Below are 23,823 nucleotides of genomic sequence, written 5' to 3' on the forward strand. Positions count from 1 at the left end.
TGTTCATCCGAGAGGGTCAGGGGAGAGGCCGTGAGAGGGGGCTTCTTGTGAGCTCCAGGCCCAGCTTCTCCTGGGCTGGAGGCTCCTAGCTGCTGTGGCAAGGAGCTGTCCTGGCAGTGCTGAGGCCCAGGTCTGGCATCTCTGCCCCTCCACTGCTCAAGGAGATGCTTGCCTGTGGCCACTCTGTGCTCTTGGCAACTCTGGGTGATATGGGCGAGGGCAGGACTTGCTGACTGCCCTGGTGGGAGAGGGCTGTGGCTGCCTTGGGTGGTCACCAGTGTCTGTGAGCACAGAGAAGGAGGAAGAGGGATTGGGCAGCTCTCCCTCCTGCAGCTCTAAAGGGGAAGGGCCTGGAGGAGTTTGGCCAGGGCCTCCCTGATGTTGCAGTTCCCAGGCAGTAGATGATGGGTTTGAGCAGAGGGATCCCAACCAAGTAGACCCCTGACACCAGCTTGATGAGGTTAGAGGAGCCGCCACCCCAGGTGGGAGGCATAGGTGGGGAAGGCCTTTAGCTGCTGGGCCTTTCTGGAATCCTCAGCGATCTGGCCAGGATGTGGGTGTAGGAGACCGTGGTTGCCTGCAGGGAAGCCGCAAGGATCACCTGGGCTGCCTGAGTCCGCATTTCTATGGTAGTGGTGCTGGAGCAAGAGAGCCCTAGCGGGGGTGGGATATCACAGAAGTGGTTGAGGACATCGGGGCTGCGGAGCCTCAGGCTGGAGTTGAGAGCCGTGGACACAAAGGAGGCTGGGAAGCTGCTGAGCTGGGCGCTGATGGCCAGGTGCAGGCAGAGCCAGCTGCATGGAGTCCATGATGGGCTGGGTAGTGCAGCAGGTGGCAGATGACCGGGTGCCAGTCACAGTCCATGTTGGCCGGGAGGATGCACTCAGAGGAGCTGAGTGAGAGGAAGAGGAGCAGCCAGGTGAGGTGCCCCGAGAAGGAGATAGATGGTCGTCGCTCGTGCTGGGAGTCCGGCCAACAGCTTTGGGACGGTGACCGAGGTGTACAGGGTCTCCAGCACCGAGAGTTTGGCCAGGAAGAGGTGTGTGGATATGTGCAGGTGGTGGCTGGCTCTGATGGTCCCCACGACAGCCAGGTCCTCTAGGATGGTCACCACATAGATGATGAGGAGTGACCAAATAGCAGCCCTTGAAGATGGCGCAGCTCTGGGAAGCTCAGAAAGACAAACTCTGTCACCACAGTATTGCTGGAATTGTATGTGGCCCTCCTGGTCAGGCAGCTCTGGGAAGCCCAGAAAGACAAACTCTGTCACCACAGTATTGCTGGAATTGTACGTGGCCCTCCTGGTCAGGCAGCTCTGGGAAGCCCAGAAAGACAAACTCTGTCACCACAGTATTGCTGGAATTGTACGTGGCCCTCCTGGTCAGGCAGCTCTGGGAAGCCCAGAAAGACAAACTCTGTCACCACAGTATTGCTGGAATTGTACGTGGCCCTCCTGGTCAGGCAGCTCTGGGAAGCTCAGAAAGACAAACTCTGTCACCACAGTATTGCTGGAATTGTACGTGGCCCTCCTGGTCAGGCAGCTCTGGGAAGCCCAGAAAGACAAACTCTGTCACCACAGTATTGCTGGAATTGTACGTGGCCCTCCTGGTCAGGCAGCTCTGGGAAGCTCAGAAAGACAAACTCTGTCACCACAGTATTGCTGGAATTGTACGTGGCCCTCCTGGTCAGGCAGCTCTGGGAAGCTCAGAAAGACAAACTCTGTCACCACAGTATTGCTGGAATTGTACGTGGCCCTCCTGGTCAGGCAGCTCTGGGAAGCTCAGAAAGACAAACTCTGTCACCACAGTATTGCTGGAATTGTACGTGGCCCTCCTGGTCAGGCAGCTCTGGGAAGCTCAGAAAGACAAACTCTGTCACCACAGTATTGCTGGAATTGTACGTGGCCCTCCTGGTCAGGCAAGTCACTTCTCAGCACTCCAGAACAGTGGGGAGACTAGGCTGTGGTGTGTGATGGGGTCACAGCCCTGCTCCACTGGTGAGAGCTAGGTAAGAGCACTGTAAGCCCTCCTGGGATCTTAGGGCAGGGGCTCAGGCTCACAGACTGTCCCACCATGCACCTTTGGGACCTGCTGCAATACTTATCTGTCATCCCCACCTCTCAGCCCAACATGCCCACTTACCCAGAGCTAACGCCTGGCCAAGGGGCCTTGGGACCTGTACACACTCATATGATCAGGTATACCCCCTCTTACACTTATACGCCCTGAGGTGCATAATCTTCCCTGCCCCAACACACAGGTACGTGGCCAGGTGCACACATATACACTCAGTGCACGTCCCTCCCCAGCTGCACACACACCCTGGTGCACACACATGCACCCAAGTGCACACCCCCAGATGTACACACAGCGCAAGGGAAGACCCATTCTGCCTGGCGTGCCTTCTCGGGGCTGTGTGCCTTGGGGCCCTTCCTGGACCTCAACCCTGCTGGCCCCCAGGGGCCAGGGGCACCCTGTACGGGTGAACAAAGCTTCCAGGGGTTTTGCAGAGGGGAGGGAGGCTCCTCCCCACCTTTTAGGTCCTGACATCTTTATCTTGTACTTTCTGAGCCAGCAAAGGGGCGGACGAGGGAAGGGCGGGAGCTGTCCACTCAGAGCCTCCAATGGGTCTGTGTGGCGTGGGGTTCTGGTTCCTGGACTTGCCTGCAGTTGGGTGTCTGAGGGCAGGATGGGGGTTGGAGGGTGAGCTGGGACAGTGGTGGGAGAAGGAGCTCCGCAGGCCTGTGCAGCAGCTCCTCTGGGAGGTCCCCGCCCCTCTCGGGGGATGTAAGCCCCAGACCCCTACCTCGCACTCTGCCTCTGGGTCTGTCTGCGCCTGGGCAGCGGCCGGGTCCCCGTGGACAAGTGGAATTCCTGGGTGACCCTTGACCCAGCCTTCTACCACCCCTCCCTCACCGGCGCTCGGGGGTCTGAGCTGGCGGCTGCTCCAGGCCCACCTGGTGAGGCGACTTCAGAGACCCCTACCCATGGCGGGGGCGAGGACGGAGTGCTGGGGGGCGCCACTGGCCAGCCTCAGGAGATGCATGGGCCCCGCCCTGGGTGCAGCGTGGGCGGCTGCGGGGAGGGGCTGGGCCGACGAAGGCTCAGCGCTGAGGACCCTCTGCAGCGCCCCCGTCCACCCCGCCCCAGTCCCACAGCACCCCGGGCGACGTGGACCAGCCAGCGAGGCACCTTGGGGCTCAGGGCTGGGGCCCTGGGTGCATCCGCGCAGCCTCCCCCAGGTCTTCGCGTGGAGACCAAGGTCACGGCGGGCCCCGCCTCCCTCGCAGGTGCGTCTCCCCCGGCCCCGCCTCTACCTGCCTCCGCTGGTGTTTCTTATTCGGTTCCTTTGTGACCTTGCCCTCCCCACCCCCTATCTGCTCCCCATCCTGGAAGTCTCTCATTGCAAATTTTCACTCCGATGGGACTGCCAGAGCGATTTGTAAAGTGCTCTGCAGGCCCATGGAGGGACCCGCTGAGCTGGGAGGCCTCCCCACGCTCTGCTCAGCCGCAAATAGAGCTTTCCATGCAAACTTCCCTCCCGGTGCCCTCACCCCGGGGACACCAACCTGGGACAGGTCGCAGACTCGAGGCCCTTCCCTTGAGGGTGGGGGCTGCTGAATGCTACCCAGTAGGCTGCCTTTGGAACACCCATTTCATTTATTTTTCGATGCATGGCATTTATTCATCTATTTATAAAATAATACAAAGAGCACATGAACCTCCCCTCAGCACAGGACATAGACAATTACTAACCCCTGAGCGTATCTCCTCCCCTCTCCCACCCTCAGAGACCATTCGTTGGGATTCTCTGGCTGCTTTCTTGAAAGCACGTTGATGACCCGAAACACGGGGCTTTGTTGGATTCAAGCTTCATAACCCAGAGCCCCGGGCTGTGCGCTGTCCTCTAGGTCTTGCTCTTTCATGTCAAGACTCTCCCTCTTCTCAGCAGCTGCACTCCACTCAGTCGGACACCTGTGTAATATTCCATGGTGTGACTACACCGCAAGTCATAACACATTCTTTGTTCACGGACACTTGGAACGATCCCCAGTCCTCTGTTCTTGCGAATGGCACTGGATGACATTCCTGTGCCTGGTTCCTGGTTGTCATGTGTGAATATTTCTCTTGTAATCCACCCGTAAGAATGGGAATGCTGAGGTCAAACTTTACTCAAAACCTCCTAAGAAAATACCAGATTCTTTTCCCAGTGTGGCTGTACTGCTCCACAGCTACTATGGCTCTCCCACCCTCTCCAGCAGGTGGTCTCGTGGAATTCTCAGTCTTGGCCACTTTAATGGGTGAGAAGCAGCGTCTCATTGTGTTGGTGACTCGTATTTTCCTGCTTGTCCCACAGATTTGGTATCAATGTGTGTTTCTGCTTCTGTGTGTCTTTTGTACATTTCTCCCAACGGGGTCATCTTTTAGTTATTGATTTGTAGGAATTCTTTAGCCCTTTCTAAATTTCTCTGTGGAGGCACAGTTTACACAGTAATGCGCTTAGTGTTGAGGTGATGGGTTTTGATAAATGTGTGTGTGTGCCTGGAACCCAGACGCATCAGGATGCCAACTTCCGTCACCCCACAGACATCCTGCATACCCTTTCCCACTTTATCCCTGACTCTCAACCTTGAGGCAACCACTGCTGAGATTCTTTCCTTCATAGGTTTTGTTCATTCTAGAATGTAATATAAGTGGAACACACAACGTCCTCTCTTTCGTCTCCAGTTTCTGCTCAGCACAGTGTTTTTGAGGCATATCCAGGGTTTGTTTGTTCCATTATTAGATAGTTTCCAGATGATCTGGAAATGTGTTATTTAGTTTCCAAATGTTCAGAGATTTTCTGGAGACATTTCACTGTTGTTCACTTCTATTTTAATTCCCTTGAGATTAGAGAACATACTTTGTTTTAAATTTGAGATTTATTTTATGGCCTAGAATATGGGTCTATCTTGGTAATTGATCTGTGTTCTCCCAAAAGAATGTGCATTTTGTGTTATTGGGTGGCACATCTTGTAGATGTCAATCAGGTAAGCTGGTTAATAGTGATGTTCAATCTTTATTGAAATCTGTGGTTCTAATTGTGGATTTGTCTCTTTCTCCTTGATGTTATATTGTTTTTGCTTCATGTATTTTTAGGTGGTTATTAGGTGCATACCTACTTAGGATGATTTTGTCCCTCTAAAGAATTAACCCCTTAATAGTTATGCAATGATTTGCTTTATGCCTGGTAATATTTGTTGTTTTAAAATCTACTTTGTCTGATATTAACTGCAGCTTTCTTTAAATAGTGCATGATATACCTTTTACCATTATTTTACTTTAAACCTACTTCTGTCTTTCTTTTTAAATTGTGCTTCTTGTAGGCAGCCTATAGTTGGGTCTTGCATTTTTATTCAGTCTGATAATCTCTGTCTTTTATTTGTGGTATTTAACCATTTACATTTAATGTGATTACTAATATGATTACACTTATTATCTACCACATTACTATTTGTTTACTATTTATCCTGTCTGATTTTTGTTCCCGTTGTCATCTTTTACTTCCCTTTTTCTGATTACATTTTATCTCCTTTGCTGACTATGACCTGTAACTCCTTCTTTTGTTACTTTAGTGGTTGTTTTAGGGTTAGTGTATTCCTTTAACTTGTCATCCTCTACCTTCAAGTGATATGTTATTTCTTCACGTATATTTTACAAGCTGTACAATAGTGTACTTCCGTTTCTCTCCTACTGGCCTTTGTGCTACTGTGGTCATGCATTTTATGTTCATGTGTTATAAATTCCACGATAAATTGTTATTATTTTTGTTTATACAGATACTTATCTTTTAAATAATAAGGAAAAGTGATGTGCATTTATTCCTATTGGCATTCATTGTGCTCTTTATTTCTTTTTATAGATCCTTATTTCCACTTGGCATCATTTGCCTTTTACCTGGAGGGTTTCTCTAAATATTTTTTGTAATGCTCATGATATATTCCTTCATCTTTTGGTCTGCTCATGATATATTCCTTCATCTTTTGTATGTATGAACAATTCTTCATTTAACTTTTGTTTTTGAAAGATATTTTTGGCCTGGTGTGGTAGCTCATGCCAGTAATCCCAGCACTTTGGGAGGATGACGTGGGTGGATCATCTGAGGTCAGGAATTCTAGACCAGCCTGGCCAACATGGGGAAACCCCGTCTCTACTAAAAATACAAAAAATTAGCCAGGCATGGTGGTGTGCGCCTGTAATCCCAGCTACTCGGGAGGCTGAGGCAGGAGAATATCTTGAACCCGGGAAGCAGAGGTTGCAGTGAGCCGAGATCTCGCCACTGCACTCCAGCGTTGGTGACAGGGCGAGTCTCCATCTCAAAAAAAAAAAAAAAAAAAAAAAGATATTTTTCCTGTGTACAGAATTCTAGATTGACAGTTTTTTTTTCTTACAGTCTTTAAAACTTTTGGTTCCACTGTTCTCTTGCTTGCATTACTTCTCTTGAGACAATGGCTGCTTTTAAGATTTTCCCTTGATCACTGGTACTGAGCAATTTAATTATGATGTGCCTCCGTGTAGTTTTCTTTATGTTTCTTATCTTGAGATTCAATGAGCAACTTGGACTTAGGAGTTTGTAGTTTCCTTCAAAGTTAGAAAAATTTTGGCCATTAGTTTTTCAAATATCTTTGCTCTCTCTTCTTCTTTGTTGATTCAGTTACATGTATATTAATCTGCTTGGAGTCATCCAACAGTTGTCACTGATACTCTGTTTCACTTAAAACATTATTCTCTTCTCTCTTTTTCATTTTTTGGTAGTTTCTGCTGCTGTGCCTTGAATTTATCTTTGCTTCTGCAATTTCTAATCAGATGGTTTGTTGTTGTTGTTGTTGTTGTTTTGTGATGGAGTCTTGCCCTGTATTCCAGGCTGGAGTGCAGTGGTGCAATCTCGGCTCAGTGACAGCTAACCTCCCGGGTTCAAGCAATTCTCCTGGCTCAGCCTCCCAAGTAGCTGGGATTACAGGTGCCTGCCACCACACCCAGCTCATTTTTGTAATTTTAGTAGACACAGGGTTTCACCGTGTTGGCCAGGCTGGTCTCGAACTCCTAATCTTAGGTGATCTGCCCACCTTGGCCTCCCAATGTGCTGGGATTACAGGTGTGAGCCACCACACCTGGCCCCAATTTCATTGATATTTTCAAAGAACTAGCTTTTGGTTTTGTTGATTTTCTCTATTGCCATTTTTGTTTTCTATTTTATTGATTTCTGCTCTGATCTTTATTATTTATTTTGATCACTTTCTGCTTAATTTGTTATTACATTTCTAGTTTCTTAGGGTGGAAACTGAGGTAACTGATTTAAGACCTTTCTTTTCTTATAGGTGTTTGGTGCTATACATTTTCCTCTAAGTACTGCATTAGTAAAATCCAGTAATTTTTTGATATGTTGTGTTTATTTTCATTTCAAAACATTTACTAACTTCTGTTTTGATTTCTTCTTTGACGATGGGTTATTTAGAACTGTATTTTTCCCAAATATCAAAATATTTCCCATAAATCATTTTCTTCTGTTGATTTCTCTTTTTAATTACTGTGGGCGAGAAGCCATCCAGGTGCTGAGGCAAGAGACTAAGGGCACGAGCTATTCCAGTGTAATGAAGAAAATATATAGAATAAGAATAGTTATACTAGAAATAGATTATAGATATGATGATATATGAATATTATTAATCATTAGTTTGTAGCAATTACTCTTTATTCCAATATTATAATAATCCTCGCTCTACTATTATAACCTAGGAAAAACCAGGCCATACAGAGATAGGAGCTGAGGGGACACGGTGAGAAGCGACCAGAAGACAAGAGTGTGAGCCTCTGTCACGCCCGGACAGGGCCACTAGAGGGCTCCTTGGTCTAGCAGTAACACCAGCGTCTGGGAAGACAACTGTTACTTGGCTGACCTTGGTCTAGTGGTAGCGTCAGTGCCTAGGGAAGGCACCCGTTACTTAGCAGACCGGGAAAGGGAGTCTCCTTTTCCACAGAGGAGTTGGAGAAGACTCTACTCCACCACCTCTTGTGGAGGGCCTGACATCAGTCAAACCCACCTGCAGCCATCCGGAGGCCTGACCGTCTCCCTGTGATGCTGTGCTTCAGCGGTCACGCTCCTGGTCTGCTTTCATGTTCCACCCTGTACACCTGGCTCTGCCTTCTAGATAGCAGTAGCAGAATTAGTGAAAATACTAAAAGTCTTTGAAATGCATAGAAGAAAGAATGGCATAAGCTGCCCTCTCTCTCTCTCCGCCTCAGCCACCTGTCCAGTGGACATGTGACTCATGTGACCTTATCAATCATTGGAGGTGACTCACACTCCTTACCCTGCCCCTTTGTCTTGTATCCAATAAATAACAGCACAGCCAGGCATTCGGGGCCACTACCGGTCTCCATGTCTTGGTGGTAGTGGTTCCCCGGGCCCAGCTATTTTTTCGTCTATCTCTTTGTCTTGTGTCTTTATCTCTAAGATCTCTCGTCTCTGCACATGAGGAGAAAAACCCACAGACCCTGTAGGACTGGTCCCTGCAAATTACTGTGTATTACTTTCAATTCTTTTAAGTTTGAGACACATTTCTCGGCCTAGAATATGGGTCTGTCGGGGTAAATGTTGCATGTGCACTTGAAAAGAATGCGTACCCTGCTGTTTTTGGATGGAGTGTTCTGTAAACATCAGTTAGGCCAAGGTGGCGGTGCCGTTCCTGCCTTCCATACCCTTCTGACTTGTTGCTTGTTCTGCCTCCTTGGATCTTGTAAGTGCAGCAGTTTCGAGTCTGTCTGTTGGTGTCTGATGCCTGCTCTTCCCACCGTCTCTAGGCCTGGTTATCTTCCGCTGTGTGCTGAGCACTGTGCTTAGAGACTTACTTGAGGGACTGATGAGAGCTTGCTTTGATGCAACCTTGAGTATTTTTGCTTGTTTTTACTTTTTCTGGACACATGGTGGCGGTAGTTGTCTAGAACCACGTGACTCAATTCAGTCTACACTTGATGTTCCAACTGAAGCTTCAGGGTTGTCCTGGACCCAGGGGCTGGGGCTTGTCGGGTTTATCCTCATTCCTCGGGGGCATAGATGTGGGTTTCCAGGGCCACTGTGTTGGGAGGACTTGGAGGAACTGGCATGGGGCCCGAGTGCTGGGCTTGCCTCCCTGGTGCCCATTGGCTCCTGCCCCCAGCCCAGCAGCTCCTCACTCACATCTACCCCCGGCTGCTTTTAAGAAGATCAGACGCATCCTGTTGTCCTCCAGGAAAGGGAGGCTCTGAATTAGTAAGTTGTTTTCTCTGGACATGTGGAACTCTCTCCTGCTTAGATATTGGATCTACTGGGCTAATTGTAAAACATACTTAATCTCCATTTTCCATATCACATTTTGGTTTAACTTTCTGAGTGATTTCTTCCAGTCCTTCTTGAGTTTATTTCTGGCATCCTATTTCCAATTTGTGGGTTATCTGTCTTTCTTTCTCTGACTCTGTCTTTCCTTTCTTTTCTCGTAGTGTTCTATTGTTTCAAGGGTGCAAACTGCATGTTCTGATGTCCGTGAGGATATTCACGGATTTCACCGCCCTCTGTCTCCGTGTCTTCCAGCCTCTTCTCATTCTCTCAGCCTCTGTCTATCTCCCCTGTTAGGGGCTCTCGTCTGATGTCTGGTGACTGTTGGCTGTCAGCCCACACTGGAGAGATCCAAAATGCTGACCAGGCCGTGGCAGAGTCATCTGGCTGGCGGAGGCCCTGCCTCGCCTGCCAGCATCACGCAGATTCCTGAGAGGAACATCTTCCGGGGTCCTGCCTGGAGGTGTCAGTGGCTGCCATCTACCGTCTAGGGATCTGGTGGGGCTGGGGTCTCTCTGTTTAGTACGGGGGCCTTCGGGCAATTCCCTGATGTCTGTCCCTCTGCTCTCAGAGGTCTGGGTGTGTCCAAGTCCGGGCCCCCTGCCTTTCCCTGGCTCACAGAGGAGGTCTGGGTGTGTCCAAGTCTGGCCCCCCTGGCTTTCCCTGGCTCACTGTCTTCAGAGTTCTACTGGGGTCAGGGCTGGCTTTGCCACCTTCTGAAAATCCCTACCTTCAGCCCCACCGGCATGTTGCTTTCAGAGCACCTGGCTGTTTCCTCCCTCTGTTCCTGCCCTGTCTCCACTGCAGACAAAGGCATCCCAGAGAGACCCCCAGGCCATGCACCACCCCGGGGCAGCCGGGTCACCCTGGGCTTGGACGGCCCTGGCATCTGTCCTTGTGACTGTGTGTCTGTGCCTATGAGCTCTGCATGCAGGGGCCCCACGGCCTGCAGGCTTTCGGTCAGCACGAGGCCCACGCCACATGGCCGGGCCAATACCTGAGTGTGGAAAGAGGCCTCATGCCTCAGCCTCTGTGTGTTTCTACTTTGGTCCCGAGAGTGAAGCTCAGGACTCGCAAGTGTCCACTGCACAGGGTGAACATCCCAGATTTTTACAACCTTGCCAGCAGGACTGACAGTCATTACTGAAACAGTTGTTGCAGATACATGTGATTCTGACCTACACGCAGGCTGTGTCAGCAGCTCCCAGCTGTGGGTCCCCATGACACCTGAAGGTCACCATAGAAGACACATGGAGCCACACAGCTCCGCCAGCCTGGAGCCACTGCGTTCGAAGGGGAACCGGAGGCTCCTGCACCTGGTCTACTGCCCTCCCTCTCCTCACAGCCTCTTAGGAGGAGCAGGGGACAGATTCCTCCGGGAGGCCAAGGCTGTAGCCCCCGTCGGCCCTGCATGCTGGGCTGTATTCAGCATGGGCAGCCTCGTCCGGTCTCCGAACCTGGCCTTCTGCAGATGCCCGCCCTGCAGTGGGATTGAAGGATATTTGCCTGGAAGAGTGGCTCAGCCTCTCCAGGGTCTCCTTATGTTATGGTCTGGGGGAAGGTTAGGGAGGGATGCAGGGAGGGACCTAAGGATGGGGCACCGGGTGTGAATCCCTGTGGGGAACCCCAGTGCCTGGGACAGGGTCCATGAGTGCCTGGGTCAGTGTCTGTTGTGGTCTGGGTCAGCGTCCATTGAGGTCTGGGTTGGGGTCCATCAGTGTCTGGGTCAGCGTCCATCAGGGTCCAGGTCAGGGTACATCAGGGTCTAGGTTGGGGTCCATTGGGGTCTAGGTCTGGGTCCATCGGGGTCTAGGTTGGGGTCCATTGGGGTCTAGGTCGGGGTCCATCGGTGTCTGGGTCAGCGTCCATGGAGGTCTGGGTCGGGGTCCATCGGTGTCTGGGTCAGCGTCTGTCGGGGTCTGGGTCGGGGTCCATCGGTGTCTGGGTCAGCGTCTGTCGGGGTCTGGGTCGGGGTCCATCGGTGTCTGGGTCAGCGTCTGTCGGGGTCTGGGTCGGGGTCCATCGGTGTCTGGGTCAGCGTCTGTCGGGGTCTGGGTCGGGGTCCATCGGTGTCTGGGTCAGCGTCTGTCGGGGTCTGGGTCAGGGTCCGACGGGGCTGTGAGCTCAGGTTCCAGCCGCCCTTACCCACTGGTTCCCAACAGAGCCGGGGGCCAGCCGTCCATGGAGACTGGGTCATGGTGGGCAGTGGGTGACCCAGCAGCTTGGTTTTTGTTTGGTAACATTCTTGGCCACCTGAGTCCTTTGTCCTATTTTCCTATTTCTCCTCCTCCTCGCCCTGTTTTAAAGTAAATCTACTCGTGTGCACTGTGGTTGGGCTTTTCCTGCTTATCTGCACCCTAAGTGCCTCAGGTGAGCCCTCCATGCATCCTCCACTTAACCTCAAGGTGAAGCTCAGCCAGTTTGGTAAACAAGCTGGGTAATTTTGTGAACGCATTTGGGCCGGGGACGGCTGACAACGAACCACCGCAGAGCTGAGCTTGGGGCGTGGCAGGCGGTGTGTTGGGGGGTCCCTCCAGCCCTGGGCCATGGGGGCCTTGGAGGCTGGCCAGCTAGTAGATGCTATGAGGGGCGGCTGCTCTGCCCACCCTGCCACTCCCCAAGGACGTCCCTGGACCAAGAACCCTGCAGGATGGACTTGGGAGGGCAGCCCCCACCCTCAGCCTGCACTGCTCGTCCACCGCCTCCCCTGCCTCTGTGCCTGGGCTGCCCAGACCCTCTGTGCCTTTCCCTCCCCAGCCGGCTCAGTGCCTATGTGAGGCCAGCAGAAATGTGCAGTTTTGTTCTGAAAAGACTATGGGGGCAGCAGAGCTCCTCAGAGTGTGGGCTCTGGGACAGGGGCTGGAAGTCAAATCCCGGACCCACCCTTGGTTTGTGACCTCGGACCTGTGGATTGGGAGGGGTCAGGAGTCTCTGCGGTGCCGGCCGCTGTGCTGGTCCCCCATGGATGAGCTCGCTCTGGGGCTTTGGGCGTCCGTCGGGGGTGGCGTGAAGCTGTGCACCAGGAGGTTTCGGGCCAGATCTTAGTGAAGTCAGACCCAGTGTGGCCGAAGCCCTCACCTTTGCACATCCCCCGTCTCTGATGCTGCCATCTCCCCGGTGAGCTGGGCCCCTCACTGCCCATGGCTCCTGTGACTCATGACCACTGACTTCCTCTCAGAGCTGCCACTCAGCAGCTGTGGGGCTTGAGGTGCCCCTCTGCCTCTTCCGGTCCCAGGTTCCCTCTCTGGAAGATGCAGCCAGCGTTGCCTTATCTGATAGAATTTGAGGCAGGATCTGCAGCGGAGTCCTCGAGTCCTTGTCACATAGGTATGTGGAGCACCCTGTGCTCTGCTGCCGTGGGGCTGTGGGGTGTGGGGGACCCCAGCTGCTGCCAAGTATGGAGCAGGAGAGCTTCACGCCCTTTACACAGAGGTGCCCACGGACAGCCTGGCATGCAGGCCCTACAGAGATGCTCTCACACAGCCCATGTGCTCCCCCACACCTACCGTAAGTGCAGAATCACATGCCCCGACCCCACACTTGGCTTCACTCACAGGGCACCCAGGTACCTGCATCAGAACTACACCCATCCACACCCAGACACATGTGCCGCCAGCACAGGCCCCCACGCAGACAGCAGGCTCCCAGCAGACAGACAAAAACACGCACACAGCAGATCCAGACCCGGCACACAGTCATCCATGCAGACATGCTGCCCCTGCCCAGGAGACAGGCAGGCACCACTCACCCCGGCCTCTGGGGCCCGGTGCTTCCCACAGAAACAAGTGGACAGACAAGGCCATGACGGGGACAAATGTGAAACCACAGACATGCTGTCCCTCCACATGGCCGCCTGCTTCAGGGAAGCTTGTTGACCAGCACACCCCAGACAGCTCGCTGCCCAATGTAGTTATAGGCACAGGCATGTGCAGATGTGCCGTGGCATACACAGTTACACACAGGTGCTCACACAGGCACTCCCAGACACACATAGGTGCTCATTCAGACAGGGACACACAAGCACACATAGGTGCGCATGCAGACACACGGCAGCACACAGGCACACACAGGTATCCACAGGTGCACACAGGTATCCACAGGTATACACAGACACACAGAGGTACACATGCAGCTGCACAGACACTCAGATATGCCCAGGTGCACATGCAGGTGAGCACAGACACAGGTGCACACAGGCACACACAGGCATGCACAGGCACATACACAGGTGGGTGCACAGATATACACAGGTGCACCGAGACACAGGTATACACAGGTGCATACACAGGTGGGTGCACAGATATACACAGGTGCACTGAGACACAGGTACACAAAGGCACATACACAGGTGGGTGCACAGATATACACAGGTGCATCGAGACACACAGGTATACACAGGTGCATACACAGGTGGGTGCACAGATATACACAGGTGCACCGAGACACAGGTATACACAGGTGCATACACAGGTGGGTGCACAGATATACACAGGTGCACCGAGACACAGGCATACACAGGCACATACACAGGTGGGTGCACAGATATACACAGGTGCACCCAGGCACACTCATGAACACAAGCACTCACGTGTCACCTGTGCAGAAGATGACGTGGTTTTTAGGTGGTGGATCTCGGTTTGAGTCCCAGCATGTCACCTGTGCAGAGGATGACATGGTTTCTAGGTGGTGGGTCTGGGTCTGAGTCCCAGCATGTCACCTGTGCAGAGGATGACGTGGTTTCTAGGTGGTGGGTCTGGGTCTGAGTCCCAGCATGTCACCTGTGCAGAGGATGACGTGGTTTTTAGGTGGTGGATCTGGGTCTGAGTCCCAGCATGTCACCTGTGCAGAGGATGACGTGGTTTCTAGGTGGTGGATCTGGATTTGAGTCCCAGCATGTCACCTGTGCAGAGGATGACGTGGTTTCTAGGTGGTGGATCTGGGTCTGAGTCCCAGCCCTGCCCCACACACTCTGCTCTGACCTGGCGGCCCATCTCCTCACCTGTGAGGTGCTGAGGTGGGGAGTTTGGAGTTTGCTCTTGGACGAAGCAGGGGCTCCTGTGACCACTCAGGCCAACAAGATCAGGGCTTGGAAGAGGCAAAACCAGAGAAGCCTGGCTGCAAAGATGAGCCCCCCTGGGGATCCCTGTATGCCCCCCAGCCCCTACATCCCAGAGCAGAGGGTGCCGGTCCCCCAGGGTCTCCCACAGGTGGGCTCCGCCTGCCTGCTCAGAGCAGTCGGGTCTGAGACTGGAGTTTGACTCATTGTCCCCTACCTCCTGATCTCTGGCCAGGCCACTGTGAGGGTCACAGGGTTGATTGAGGAAACCTTTTCATGGGCTGTGAAAGGGGCAAAGGCACCTGAACCCTCTGCCCTCCTCACCTAGACCCGTGAGGACCACGGCCCTGGGGCAGAGCCCTCTCCCTGGACACCAAGGTCCTCTGACTGCTCCCCACCTGGTTGGCTGAGCCTGGCTGATGCTCCACAGAGGGGTGGTCCAGGCTGGACAGCTCAAGGTGGCAGAGGGCAGTGGGAGGTCAGGAGAAGGTGCTCAGGACCCACCAAGGGGTCTTTGGCCCCTGCCTTCTGTGTGTGCTTGGAGAAGGGACTTCACTGGTCCCAGAGACAGCTGATCAGTCCATCCAGCCTGGCCTGGTGTCCTGGTCCACACGGGGTACAGACCTCCAAGGCTGCCGGGGGCAGGTGTATGGCTCTGTGTTCCCACGTCCCAAAACCACATTCATAAATGTCACATTTATTCACATTCAGCCATGTCTGAGGGTCCTTACTGGGCCTCAGCACTGGCTTCCGACCCAGCAGTGGACGCATGAATTTTTGCCTGGGGGATCAGGTGTTGGAGGGAGACAGACAACAGCTAATGGTGGGTAACTCTGCAGCACGCGGGGGTGGAGCGTGGCATGGAGAGGCAGGCACACAAAGGAGTGGGATCAGGGCCACTGCTTGGACAGAACACCCAAGGCCAGGGTCCACCCTGGAGGTGTCAGGGAAGAGAGTGCCAGGGAAGGGGACAGCGGCTGCGCAGGTGAAGGTGGGCCTGGGCCCTGCGTGGTGGGGGACGAGCAGTGGGCAGGGAGGGCTGAGCTCAGCGGTGGGTGTCGGCACACAGGCCTGTGGTGTGTCCTCGGCTGTCACCGACTGAGTGGCTGCGGGGTGGCGAGCAGAGAGGGGACTGATGTGACTTTGCTTTCAAGGAGCCCCCTCGACCTCTGGACGCTGGTGGAGCATGGGCGGGGCAGGGCCCAGTTGGGGGCGGCCCTCGTAGCTGAAATCGGGCAGACCCTGCCGGGGTGCAGCCCGATGGATTCGCTGATGGATTGGATGTGGGTGTAGAACAGAGATAAGCCGAAGGCTGTGAGGTCAGCGTGGTTTTGGGGGCTGGGGGAAGTCGGAAGTAAGGTTTTGGGGTGCAAGTGCAGAGATGGAGGAGCGGCTGGGCAAAGGCATGGACACAGGCGTGTGGAGCAGGGGCCTGGGCTGGAGGTGGGCATTGGGGTGCGTCGGGACCGACCCCGGGGCTCCAAAGGCCGGGGCTGTGGGTGGGGGGAGAGCAGAGGCTGGGTGTCCGTCGGCGAAGGCGCCATTCTCATCTCCTCCAGTTTTGTGCCTGGGGCAGCCCGGGAGCTTTTCTGGGCCTGCGTCGGTGGCCGCAGCCCAGCTCCGCCCTGCGGTGCCCACCAGGAGGCTTTGCCGGGGCGGCCAGGACCCCCGAGGGCACGAGCACCGCGGACTCGCGGCTCTGCCCTGCCCCGTCCGGGCCAGCCCTGCCCTGGCGGAGCCCCCTCTCCCGGGGCAGCTTCCGGGCGCGACCACCCACCCACAGGCAGAGCCCCCACCTGGAGTCCCCGGGCTGAGGCCTCTGCACGCGCGGGAGGCTCTTCCTGGACCCGGCGCGCACCGTGGCGGCGCCGCCCACCCAGCCCCACGCCCCACCGCGCCCCCCGCCTCGGGCAGGTGCAGACTCCAGGTCCTGCCCGTTTCTCACGGTCTCTCCCACGGCCCCGGGTCCGCCTCACTGAGAGCCCAAGACCGGGGCCGCCACCCCTCAGCGACCCGCCCCGGGGACCCCGCCCCGCACAGCGCCCGCAGCCATACGTCCTGGGCCCGGGGGCCCCGGGCAGCCTCCTGGCTGTGTGTGTGCGCGTTTGGGGTCCCATCCACGAGGGTCCCCTCCCCCCACGCCGGGCTGGCAGGGAGGAACCCACTCCCAACACGGCCCCCGGACGCCCCCACTCCTCAGCACCGCCCAGGGAGAACCCGCGGCCGCCTGGTTGTGAAACCCCACAGCCTTCTCCGCCCTCCGCTGTGGGCTGGATTTCCATGTGAATCTTAAGTCAGTTCTCAAGTCCCGTCTCCCTCCTAGAGTTTACTTTGGGGGAAATTTCACATCTTTGCAACAGGAAAGCTTCCAACCCAGAAACGTGGTGCGTTTCCGCATTTACTCAGATCTTCCTTCAACGCCTCTCAACTTTCTGCATTAACGTCTTCCACGTCTTTCACCAGATTAATTCCTAGAAAGTTGGTATTTTTGTTGCCTTTGTAAGTGGTAGGTATTTTTAAAAAGTCATTTTCTGTTCATTGCTTATATGTAGAAAAACAAGTGACTTTTGTCTATGTTCAGTAAACTCACTAAACGTTCCCATGTCGCTAACTGATCCGTGGTTCCTGTGGGTCTCGGCATTCCCAGCAGCGTGTCTGTGAGTCACGCTGGTCTTGACTGTCATTCTCCAAGCATCGTGCCTTTTCTTTTTTATCTTTCTGCACTGGGTTTGGCCGCCAGGGCAAAGTGGGCTGCAGGTGGTGAGAGCAGGAACGGGGACGCTTCTGTGAGCTGCGTTTGTATGTTCTTGTTTTCAGATTAAGGAAGTTCCCTTCTAGTTCTAGTTTGCAAACACTTTATTATCAGAAATGGATACTGAATTCTATATTAAAAATTTTACATCTTTGAAAATGACAATATGATTGTTCTCCCTTAGCCTTTCAGTGTGGCAAATTACAGTGATTGATTTTCTAGTGTTAGCTTTTTTCCTAAATGCAACTTTGCAGGCCTGGAGAAAACCAGCTTTGGCGTCAGTGATGTGCTTTGCACGCATTGCTGATTCTGTGGGTCCTGTGTCTGGATTCAAGACAGGCAAACATTGAGGGAATTAATCATCACTAGATCAGCCCTACAAGAAATGCTTAAGGGAGTCCTACATCTAGAAGTGATAGGATGTTAACCACCATGATAAAAACTTACAAAAGAATAAAAATCACTAGGAAATCAGATGAGAACGAGAAAGAAATAAAATCTTATCATTACAAAAACCACCAAACTGCAAAGATAGACACTAAGAGAGGAAGAAAGGAAAAAAGGATATACAAAATGACAACAAAATAAAAATCATATCAAGTATCTTCTCAGACCACAGTGAAACTAGAAATTAATACCAAGAATAACTTTGGAAACTATACAAACTCCTGGACACATATAACTTACCAAGACTGAACCAAGAAGAAATACAAAACATGAACGGACCATTAATGAGTAACGAGATTGAATGAGTAATAAAAAGTCCCCCAACAAAGAAAAGACCAGGACTGCATGGCTTCACAGCTGAATTCTACCAATCTTTAAAAAGAAAAAATACTAACTCTTCTCAAACTATTCCAGAAACTTGAAGGCGGGGGGTGTGGGAGTGGAATTTGTCCAAACTCATTCTATGAGGCCAGAATTACCCTGACACCAAAACCAGACAAGGACACAACTAAAAGAGAAAACTATAGGCCAATATCCCTGGTGAAAATAGATGTAAAAATTCTCAACAAAATACTAACAAACCAAATCCAACAGCATATCAAAAAGATTATACACCATGATCAAGTGGGATTTATTTCAGGAATGCAAGGATGGTTCAATACATGAAAATCAATAAATGTGGTACATCACAACAGCAGAATGGACAAAAACCATATGATCATCTTAGGAGATGCAGAAAAAGCATTTAATCAAATCAACATCCCTTCATGATAAAAATTCTTAACAAATTAGGTATATAAGGAATGTACCTCAATACAAAAAAAAGGCCATATATGACAAACCCACAGCCAAAATCATACTGATTGGGGGAAAAGTAGAAAGCTTTTTCTTTAAGAACTGGAACAAGACAAGGATGTCTACTTTTAACACTCTTATTCAACATAGTACTGAAGGTTCTAGCCAGAACAGTTAGACAAAAGAAATAAAAGCCATCCAAATTGGAAATGAGGAAGTCGAGTTGTCCCTGTTTCCAGATGACATAATTTTATATATAGAAAAACCTTAAGACTCCACCCAAAACTTTTAGTACTGATAAATATATTCAGTAAAGTTGCAGAATACAAAATCAACAAACACAAATCCATAGCATTTCTATGCAACAATAACAAACTACCTAAAAAAGAAATTAAGAAAGCATTCCCATTCACAATAGCTACAAACCTCCACCCCCAGGAATAAATTTAACCAAGGAGGTAAAGGATCTCTACAATGAAAACTACAAAACACTGATGTAAGAAATTGAACATGACACAAAAGAAAGAAAAGACATCCTATGTTCATGAATTGGAAGAATTAATATTGTCCAAATAACCATATTATCCACACAATCTGTAGATTCAATGCAATTCCTATCAAAATATAAATTACATTCTTCACTGAAATAGAAAAAAGATTCCTAAAATTCCTATGAAACCACAAAGACTCTGAATAGCTAAAGCAATCCTGACCAAAAAGAGCAAAGTTGGAGGAATCACACTACCTGGGTTCAAAACATACTACAAAGCTATAGTAACCAAAACAGCATGGTACTGGTATGAAAACAGACACACAGGGCAGTTGAACAAAATGCAGAACCCATAAACAAATCCACATTAGCCCTAACTGACTTTTGACAAAAGTGCCAAGAACACACTTGGGGAAAGTACACCCTCTTCAATAAATGGTGCTGGGAAAACTGGATATTCATATGCAGAAAATAAAACTAGGCCTCTATCTTTCACCATATAAAAATCAACTCAAAATGGATTAAAGACTTAAATGTAAGATCCAAACTATAATACTACCAGAAGAAAATATAGGGGAAATGAGTCAGGACATTGGTTTGGGCAAAGATTTTATGAACAAAACTTCAGAAGCACTGGTAATGAAAGCAAAAATGGACAAATGGGCATATATCAATCTAAAATTGCTCTGCACAGCACAGGAAACAAATGACAAGGTAACAACCAACAGAATGGGAGAAAATATTCACAAATTATCCATCTGACCAGGAGTGAATAATCAGAATATATAAGGAATTCAAACAATTGAATAGCAAAAAAAAAAAAAAAAAAAAAATTAAGTCGATAAAAAAATGGGTGAAAGTTTCTGAATAGGCATTTATCAATAGAAAACATATAAAGAACCAAAATATATGGAAAAAAGCTCAACATCAGTAATTACCAGAGAAATGCATATTGAAACCACAATAAGATATCATCTCACCCAAGTTTGAAGGGCTTTTATCTAAAAGACAAACAGTAACAAATGCTGGTGAGAATGCAGAGAAATGGTAAAACTTACACACTGTTGGTGGGAATGTAAATTAGTACAGCCATTATGGAAAACAGTATGGGGTTTCCTCAAAAAAAAATAAACATAGAACGACCATATGATCCAGCAATCCCACTACTGGGTATTTATCCAAAGGAAGGGAAATCAGTGAATTGAAGAGATATCTGCACCCCTATGTTCACTGCAGCACTATTCACAATAGACAAGACATGGAATCAACCTAAGTGTTCATGAATAGATAACTATATAAAGGAAATGTAATATATATACACAATGGAATACTATTAAGCCATAAAAAAGAGTGAAATAGGCTGGGCATGGTGACTAACACCTGTAATCCCAGCACTTTGGGAGGCCAAGACTGGTGGATTGCTTGAGTCCTGGAGTTTGAGACCAGCCTGGGCAACATGGTGAAACCCCATCTCTACAAAAAAAAAAAAAAAAAAAAACAAATTATCTGGGTGTGGTGGCATGCACCTGTGGTCCCAGCTACAAGGGAGGCTGAGGTAGGGGGATTACTTGAGTCCAGGAGGCAGAGGTTGCAGTGAGCCAAGATCATGCCACTGCACTCCAACCTGGGCCACAGAATGAGACCCTGGGGGTGTCTCAAGAAAAAAAATAAGTAGATTAAAGAAACCTGTAATCTCAGCACTTTGGGAGGCCAAGGCAGGTGGATCACCTGAGGTCAGGATTTCAAGACCAGCCTGGCCAACATGGCGAAACCCTGTCTCTACTAAAAATACAAAAATTAGCTGGTCGTGGTGCCATGTGCCTGTAATCTCAGCTACTTGGGAGGCTGAGGCAGAAGAATCGCTTGAACCTGGGAGGCGGAAGTTGCAGTGAGCCGAGACTGCACCATTGCACTCCAGCCTGGGCAACACGAGTGAAACTCCATCTCAAAAAAAAAAAAAAAAACTTGCCATTTGTGGCAGTGTGTGCATGTAGGACATTCTATTAAGTGCAATAAATCAGGTACAAAAATATCAATACTGCAATACTGCTAGTTGTCACTCACATGTCGGGACTAAGAAATTGACCTCATATTAGTAGAGTAGAATTAGAGTTACTAGAGACTGGTAAGGGTTAGGGGAGAAGCAGATAGGGAGAGGTTGTTTAATAAATACAAAGTTACAGAGGAATAAGTTCCAGTGTTCTGTAGCTCTGTAGGGTGACTATAATTCAAAATAACTTGTTGTGTATTTTCAAATAGCTAGAAGAGAGGGTTTTGAATGTTCCCAACAGATAAATGATAAATGTTTGATGGGTTTGGTAGTTACCCTGATTCGATCATTATGCATTGCACACATGTATCAAAGTATCACTCTGTATCCCATAAATATGTACAATTCTTACATGTCAATTAAAAATAAGGCACTTCCTGCTTGCTTCCATTTCAGACGAGAAATTAGCTGTAATTCACATTTTACCATTTTTTATAGTCAGTGCAATCCTTTTTGTCTGGCTGTTTTTAGGATTTTTTTTTCCTTTGGTTTCCAAACGTTTAATTATGATGTGTCTTGGTGTGAATGTCTTTGAATTCATCTTATTTTGGATTTCTCAGCTTCTTGAATCTGTAGTTTTGTGCCTTTCACCATATTTGGAGAATATTTAGTAGTTGTTACTTTAAATACATTTTCAGCCCCATACGCTCTCTTATCTTTCCTGAATTTCCCAGATACAAAGATTAAGTCTTGTTATTATTGTCCCACAGATCCCCGAGGCTCTATAAATTTTTCTATTTTCTCTCTGTTGTTTGCACTGTGTAAATTCTATTGAAGTATCATCAGGTTCACTGGTTCCTCTGTCATTTCCATTCTACTAGTCCGTTCATTGAGTTTTTAACATTTCAGTTATTATATTTTCAGTTCTGTAATCATTTATTTTAAAAACAATTTAATTGAGGTTCATGTATCATAAATGCACTCTTTTAAAGTGTGTGGTGCAGAGGATTTTAGTATATTCAGGATTATGCAACCAGCACCACTAATTTCAGAACATTTTCATCACCTGAAAAAGAAATCCTGTAGCTGGCTGTGGTGGCTCACACCTGTAATCTCAGCACTTTGGGAGGCCAAGGTGGGAGGGTCCGATGAGGCCAGGCGTTTGAGACCAGCCTGGGTACATGGCAAGGCTTTCCATCTCTACAAAAAAATTTAAAAAATTAGCCAGACATGGTGGCATGCACCTATAGTCCCAGTTACTCAGGAGGTTAAGGTAGGAAGATCACTTGAGGCCAGGAAGTTGAGGCTGCAGTGAGCTATGATCATGCCACTGCACTCCAGCCTGGATGAGAAAGTGAGACTCTGTCTCCCAATAAATAAATGAATATATAAATACATAAATAAATAAAAATAAAAAAGAAAAACACTATACTATTTTCAGTCATTTTCTCTTTCCTCCTTCTCTAGCCCCTGGAAACCATGAATCTAATTTCCTTGTCTATTGATTTGCCTATTCTGGAAATCTCATATGAATGGAATCGTACCCAGTATGTGGTCTTTTACATCTGGCTTCTCTCACTGAGCATGTTTTCAAGGTTGACGCACATCCAGCCTGTGTGGGTGCCTTGTTCCCTTTCTATGGCTGAGTGACATTCCATAATGTGGACATACCGCATTTTGTTTCTCCATTTATCAGTGGATGCACACGTGAGCTGTTTTCATCTTTATTATGAATAATGCTGCATGGACATTCATGTAGAGATTTTTGTGTGGACATAAGTTTACATTCCTCTTAGATATGTACCCAAGAGTGGAGTTGCCCCTTCTGGGCTCAAGTGGTATCTTCCAGGAGTATCTCTGTTTAACATTTTGACAAACTGCCAAACTTTCTCAAAGCAGTTGCACCATTTTTGAATCTACCAGCAAAATCTGAGAGGTCCCATTTCTCTACATCCTTACCACTGTTTCATTTTGTTTTTAAGACAAAGTCTTGCTCTGTCACCCAGGCTGGAGTGCAGTGGTGCAATCTCAGCTCACTGCAACCTCCGCCTCTTGGGCTCACGCCATTCTCATGCCTCAGCCTCCCGAGTAGCTGGGACTACAGGTGCATGTCACCCTGCCCGGCTAATTTTTGTATTTTTAGTAGAGACAGGGTTTCACCATGTTGGCCAGGGTGGTCTCGAACTCCTGACCTCAGGTATCTGCCCACCTCAGCCTCCCAAAGTGCTAGGATTACAGGCGTGAGCCACTGCGCCTAGCCTGTTCCATTTTTATAACTTCTATTTCTTTGCTGAGATTTCAATTTTTCCACTTATTTCAAGAGCATTTGCAATTTGTTGTGGAAACATTTTTATGATGCCTGTTTTAAAATCCTTGTCAGATAATTCTGACACCTGACTCTTCCTGGTGCCGCCCTTAGTTGGTTGTCTCTTACTGAAATGGTCGTGTCCCTGGGTCTTCATATGATGAGTGATTCTTAACTGTATCTTCTCTCAAGGGTTTTCATTCCAACGACAGTTCAGTTCTCAGAGTTCTTGCAAAGCTCTTCCGTGTCATTCTTCTGGTGCTGCTGGGACTCCCACTCAAACCCTAATCCTACCCCTACCCCTAACTCTGCTAGTGCCATCTGCTGGCACAGAGGACGCCTCCTTGGCTGTCTGGGGCCACTGCCTTCTGTGGTGGTGGCATGGCTGAAGCCGACGGGCCCGGGTGGAGGGCAGAGACGCAGGGCTTCACTGATGCTGTGCTGTGGGCAGGTTGGACCATCTCTGCCTGATGGTTGGGTCTAGTCCCATCAGCAGCTTGATCAGTGTGGGAGGAAACCCACAGCCTGCACCCTCCCCATGTCTGGTGATGCTCAGGCCAGCAAGGCATTGGCTGCTCTGCTCACGGCTGAGAGGCAGAGCTGCTGATTCGCTCTGGAAAGGCTGTGGCTGTCCCCA

General features: G+C 49.9%; 1 pseudogene, besides 3 other annotated features; it reads right to left on the reverse strand.

The window, feature by feature from the left end:
- On the reverse strand, window positions 339–1,263 carry OR6L2P (olfactory receptor family 6 subfamily L member 2 pseudogene; annotated as a pseudogene).
- Window positions 7,789–7,838: an enhancer, noted in NCBI's record as "active region_4252". NCBI's record gives its function as "activates an Ori minimal core promoter by ATAC-STARR-seq in GM12878 lymphoblastoid cells {active_cell/tissue: GM12878}" and the evidence as "EXISTENCE:reporter gene assay evidence [ECO:0000049][PMID:35858748]".
- Window positions 18,176–18,376: a silencer, noted in NCBI's record as "peak1138 fragment used in MPRA reporter construct". NCBI's record gives its function as "represses an SCP1 promoter by STARR-seq MPRAs in K562 erythroleukemia cells {active_cell/tissue: K562}" and the evidence as "EXISTENCE:reporter gene assay evidence [ECO:0000049][PMID:32103011]".
- Window positions 23,615–23,664: an enhancer, noted in NCBI's record as "active region_4253". NCBI's record gives its function as "activates an Ori minimal core promoter by ATAC-STARR-seq in GM12878 lymphoblastoid cells {active_cell/tissue: GM12878}" and the evidence as "EXISTENCE:reporter gene assay evidence [ECO:0000049][PMID:35858748]".

The sequence above is a fragment of the Homo sapiens genome, chromosome 10 (assembly GCF_000001405.40).
Source record: "Homo sapiens chromosome 10, GRCh38.p14 Primary Assembly".
Lineage (NCBI taxonomy): Eukaryota > Metazoa > Chordata > Mammalia > Primates > Hominidae > Homo > Homo sapiens.